The sequence below is a fragment of the Homo sapiens genome, chromosome 12 (assembly GCF_000001405.40).
Source record: "Homo sapiens chromosome 12, GRCh38.p14 Primary Assembly".
In the NCBI taxonomy this organism is placed as follows: domain Eukaryota; kingdom Metazoa; phylum Chordata; class Mammalia; order Primates; family Hominidae; genus Homo; species Homo sapiens.
In genome coordinates, this window is record NC_000012.12 from 128049616 (window position 1) to 128055599 (window position 5984).

The window sequence follows — 5984 nt, forward strand, 5'->3', positions numbered from 1 at the left end:
GCCATGTTGTTTGGCAGGCACAGTGAGCCATTCATATCAGGAAATGATGGGAACCCTCCCAAAATTTGTTACCCTATGCCAGGCAAGGGCCAACCTTGCAAATACAGCCACAGGCCGGTTTTGTTAACTCCTTTCTGCACAGGATCCAACATGGATAAGTGATTACATCCAAAAAGGCAAGAAGAGCCTCATAGACAAGGTGATGTGTGAGTTAAGCTTATACCAGGCTTGACAAGTGAGCCCCATCGTGCTGGCTGGTCACATGCATGCCATGGTGAGAAGCATCATGAGGCTGTGCCGGTGTTCTGGGACAGACTGTGCCACGATCAGTTGGTGATGTCTGCTGTGGATCCAGAAGGACAAGGTGATGATGATTCCCAATACTTAGCATCATTGTTCAACACCATCACAGCACCCTACTTTTGGTTCCCGTGTGTATGAGTAACTTATGTTCCCTCTTCTTCAACACTGACCATGTTTCCTCTTCTTCAACACTGACTCAGCACACTCATTGTGGCTCTTCTCAACAATGTCCTTTCTCCTGCAGCCTCCCTCCAGTGATATGGCCCCGAATATCACAACGCTTTTCAGGCCAGTGGGGTCAGTTGCAGATACTATCAATAGGGGCTGAACACTGTAATCTCACAGGCTAAATATGGCCCAAGGAAATAATGGATTTGGGCAGCATTGTCTTCCTTAATTGTGAGATTTCATGTACAAATCCAGGTTTCTGGATTTTCTTGAAGAGACAGAAAATATGACAACATTGAACTTACATTTTCAAATGGGAACAATTGACCATAAATAGTGTGATTGTGTAGGGTAGGTGTATAAGAGAGAGCTAGATTGGTGGTAACCAGAGGCCAGGAAGGATAAGGGAAAGGAGGAAGAAGAGAGGTTGATTCATGGGTACAAAAATACCATTAGCAGAAAGAAGACCTAACGTTCCACAGGGCAGGAGAATGCCTATGGTTAACGCTAATCTATTGTACATTTCAAACTAGCTATAAGAGCATCATTTGAGTGTTCCTGGCATAAAGAAAAGATAAATATTTAAGGTGATGAAAATCCCAATTACCTTGATTTGATCTCAGCACGTCATATGATTGTACCAAGTTATCACAGGTACCCCCAAAATATATACATCTATTATGTATTCATAAAAAATTAATTTTAGCAAAGCTCTACTTGATAAAGTATAGTCATTTATTTGAAAATAGGGATGTTCTGGGCCAGGAAATAGTAAATTCAGAAGCTCTGCGGTGGGAATGAATTTAGGGTGTTTGTGCAGCCAAAAGGTGACCAGGGTGGCAGCAATAAAGTTAATAAAGTGAGGCGCAGGGGGAAAGGATATGGTACCGATAATATTTTGCCTCCCTGCCCCTTGGATCTAGCACTGAAGGGTTAGCATGAAGATAAAGTGCATGCTGAAGCTGCCTTTTCTAGGTTCAAAAGAGGCAATTGTTAAATTTCCAGGAATTCTGTTCACTGATGGTCAAACACAGCCATTATTAAAAATTAAATTGTGAAAGCATACAATTAAATAAATGACAATAAAAGCAAATGTAATCAATAATCAAAACTCATCACTTCCAAGTTATGTCACTACATTTTACTATTATGTTTGTTTTTAAGGGAAATAATAGAAGAATAATAATGAAGAAGAGGGAACATAAGTTACCATTGTGGGCGACTCCACGTTTGGTGATATGACATCGGAAGCTTGAAACCATCTATAGTGGAGGTGTCTACACCAGAGAAATAGGCAAACACTACAGATTGGGACTTGATTATTTTGTTGATTGGTTAGACTTAAGAAAGTAATGGAGAAAAAGTTTAAAATGTAAATTAAACTTAAAAGTATATTGGGTTTATAGCCATTTCATTGTGAATAGCACGAAGTGTTGAGAGAATAAATAACTTTCCATTGTTCAAAAACTATTATCTAATTCAGGAAAGAAGTCCCTGATAGCACTGAAGAATGCGATACAATTCCAAGATACATGTTAGTTGTTTCATTTTCATTTTTCTTGTTAACATAAGTGACAGTATCAACAATTATTTGTGTCAGAACCATAAGTCTTCTTGAGTGACGTAGTAGCTTCTTTGCTGAATCCAATAAGTGTCAAGCATTTATCATTGTCTGATTTTGTGACACAATTGTTGTTGATAAAAATTATAAAAACTGATAGTGGAATTGGCAAGGCATAGCAAGTCACACTGAAATTAAAGGTGTAAACAAAATAAATTGGCTATATAAAATTTAAAATAATGGATATTGTATATTATGATTTGTAAATTAGGTGCTATATGGCCTTTATATCAGTATAACTAATAATAATCTTCAGAGACCCTACTGTTAAAAATTAATCAGTACACCAGAGTAGAAAGATTATTTTGGACATTTAATTAACTACAATAGAATTAATTCTAATATATCCATTATTTCACTAAAAATAAACAAAACACTTTGGCATAGCAATGGTGCCAGTACCAGTTATATATGTGTGCCCAATAAATATCTCTATAACAAATTTATAAGTAAAACAAAAGCCAATTTATAGTACATTCCATCAACTGTAATACATGTAGGCTTCCTTCTGTACAGCTAATATGTATTCATGATTGCTGTATTAAGGTAAGGTAAAATGTCTAATGCTACATATGGATTATATTCATTTTAGCCTGAAGAGCTATGCAGACAAAGAGACCAATAAACATTTGGAGAATAAAAGCTTATTTTTCTCAAATAGGATCTCTGAAAGAGCATTAATACATATTCGGCATCTTATAGCTCAAGCCCAGAATAAGCTCTCATTCTTCTGAAACAAAACATTCTCGTTTGTGGAATAACAAGAAGCTGAGTGCAGAAAATTGTTACTTTATCCATACGAAGCTGTGGTGAGTCACAGCCACAGGCATGGTGAGTATCCCAGAGTCAGATGGGGACTTGAGATCACTTATTCCCACCTTTCCCCAATCCAGGGAGAGGTGGAAAGACGCGGGTAACACTCAGATGTGATTTGAGTCAGGCGATGAGGGTGTTATTACCTGTCATTTCTTTTGAGTCTTTGGCTGCGTACTTTGAGAGAGTGTCCCTCTGAAACACGTGTGTCTTGAACACTACGTCAGTGCTTGGTAATCTCCCTTTCTACGAAAAGAAAGCAGCTTCAAGCTTCGAGCTCTGAGCCTTCATCAGGCAGCAGACTCTGGGCAGCTGCCTCCACCTAGAGTTGAACAATGTTGGTTTGTTTCTAAAATACTGACTTACACTAATATCTTCCGAGCTGGGTATCTGCTGCTAGCCCCTGCAGACCCAGGCTCCACACTTCTCAACTCTGCCCGCCGAGGTTGGTCTGGACAACACCAGTGGGCACCCATGGCCCCTGGCTCCCTGCTGGGTTTGGTCATGGAAAGCCCCGCAGGAGACTGGCAAGAGAGAAGAGAGTGAAGTCCAGGAATATTCCCTGGCTCTCTACCATCAAAGTCTTCTTGGGTCAGCTGTATCTCTTGGCAGAAGGCTACAGCTCCTATAAATGTGGCCTGGCTTTAAGACCCTTTCCTTGCAATTAAGCCCCGGTCCCTTTGGACTGACAGGAGGTCTCAGCCAGGCTGACAGCAGCTCTGAGTTCCTGCTTGGCTCCTGGGGTCGCCCCGCACCCATATCTTTGTCATGCCTCCCTAAATACCCTGACTTGAGCATACACATTCTATGCACATAATAAAATATTACACACACCCCACAAATATGTACAAATATTATGCATTAAGAAAAAAGAGGAAAAACCTGATTCTCTCCAATTATCCTCATTTGAGTATTCTGGTGGAGACCCTGGCTGAGGCACCTATTAATGTCAGCTGTGTTTGGTATCCATTTGGTTTATTGATATAGAAGAAAGCTCCACATCACGGGGCTATGCAAGAGCCTTAGTCTGCTCCAAGAAAAGAGCCCCTAGCTTATTTACGGCCAGCATCAAACCTCCAGTCATAATCTTCTCTATCAGAGAGTAGAGCTATCTAGAACCAGGCTAACCATGCCATTCTCTGTTCTCAGTCTCCTCAAAACACTGCAGGCACAGCCTCAAATCTCAAGGAAGAAATAGCGCCTTTAGCCACGAGGTGATAGAGAGGCTAGAAATTGATGCTCAAAGGCTGAGTCCAACTTGCAGCCTTGTTTCCTTGGCCTTCTGTATTTATTTATTTTTTAATGTTTTGAATTGGTTGCCAAAATCTAAACATAGAGAATTTTCATATAAAACTGCAAATTTCTACATTCTTTCTCTCTCTTTTTAAATTTTTTTTATTATTTATTTATTTATTTATTTATATATTTATTTATTTTGATGGAGTTTTGCTCTTGTCACCCAGGCTGGAGTACAGTCAATGGTGTGATCTCAGCTCACTGCAACCTCCGCCTCCCAGGTTCAAGCGATTCTCCCGCCTCAGCCTCCCAAGTAGGTGGGATTACAGGCATGTGCCACCATGCCTGGCTAATTTTTTGTATTTTTAGTAGAGATGGGGTTTCACCATGTTGGCCAGCCTGGTCTCGAACTCCTGACCTCAGGTGATCTGCCACCTCAGCCTCCCAAAGTGCAGGGATTACAGGCGTGAGCCACCGCACCCGGCCTTCTACATTCTCTTGAAAAGGGAAGATGTGGCCCCACTGAGAGCACCCTACACACTTGGCTGCCACTCCCTGCCCATTTGGGGGCACCTGTGCTCTCCAGGTTGGTCTGTTCTTTACCAGGTCGCCCAGGCTTGGAGTTTGATACCCCAGAAGGAGGGGAATTCGGGAGGTGGCTTGTTGGTGACCCAGTATTTCCACGGGTGCTTGAGGTGTTTGCAATTCCCCATCCTGGCCTGTGATCCATCAGACTCTGCTCCGGCGGCGGTGTCTGCAGGGGAAAGTCGGCTTCCCCGGATGTGGGATTCCGCAAGGCTGGTCTGTGCACTTCCTTGTCAGCAATATTTCAGCTATTAAGACTTCTTTGGGATCTTTTCTGCCTGGAATTGTATCTATTTCTTGATAATCATCTCCCTTTGTACTTCTTGAGTTAGGCTAATACGATTTCCCTGAATATCTGTCAAATTAATCCATTTGCTGTCACCTTGTATGTTGAACGAAACCAAAAAACATATATTAATCTTTAATTTATAACAAACCAGTGGTGCCTGGACATCATGAAATCATGCGGGACTAAAAGGCAGGCTTTACTTTTATCCCAAGATGCATTCAGTAAGACCCACTTGATATATCACATTTTATCAGGCAGTTGAACAAAAACTAGCCATGCCACTTGCTGCTAAGGCTATTAAATTGGTTAGACCATTTAACATTTATTATTTACTCCCAATTTTTATTTGAGAAAATTTTTCTTATTGCAAAAAGAAATAGTTCACTCCACACAGTACCCTTTGCTCTGAAAACTTATAAAACTCCTCACAACTTCTTTTCTGTTATGAAGCGACTACATCCCATTTACCTTGTAATAATTATTTTACCCACCAAGTGAAGCAAGAGAATAGCAATTACAACTGCTGTACACACATACATACATGCACATACATAACATAAATATACACACATACACACATACATGTGCACACACATAAATGCACATACATGCATGTATACACACATACAAACACACACAGGCATGCACATACAGGCATACACACATACATACACATGCACACACATACACATGCATGTACATGTACACATACACACATGCATGTGTGCACATACACATATACACACATGCATGCACGTACATACATCCATATCCACATACCTGCATACACATACACACACGTACACAAACACACATGCACCGGCCTGCACAGCCACACCGGGTATGAGCACAGCATTGAAAAGATCCCATGCTGGAAAAGATCCATGTCCTTCCCAGGTAAGATTGGAGACAGTCACCTGAAGAGGGCACAATCTTGCTGAAGCTCAGGAAACCCATCAGTTCTGCAGC

The 5984-nt window shown here is 41.0% G+C and overlaps 1 annotated feature.

Annotated features, from left to right (window-relative positions):
• Positions 436-636: a silencer, noted in NCBI's record as "peak2042 fragment used in MPRA reporter construct". NCBI's record gives its function as "represses an SCP1 promoter by STARR-seq MPRAs in K562 erythroleukemia cells {active_cell/tissue: K562}" and the evidence as "EXISTENCE:reporter gene assay evidence [ECO:0000049][PMID:32103011]".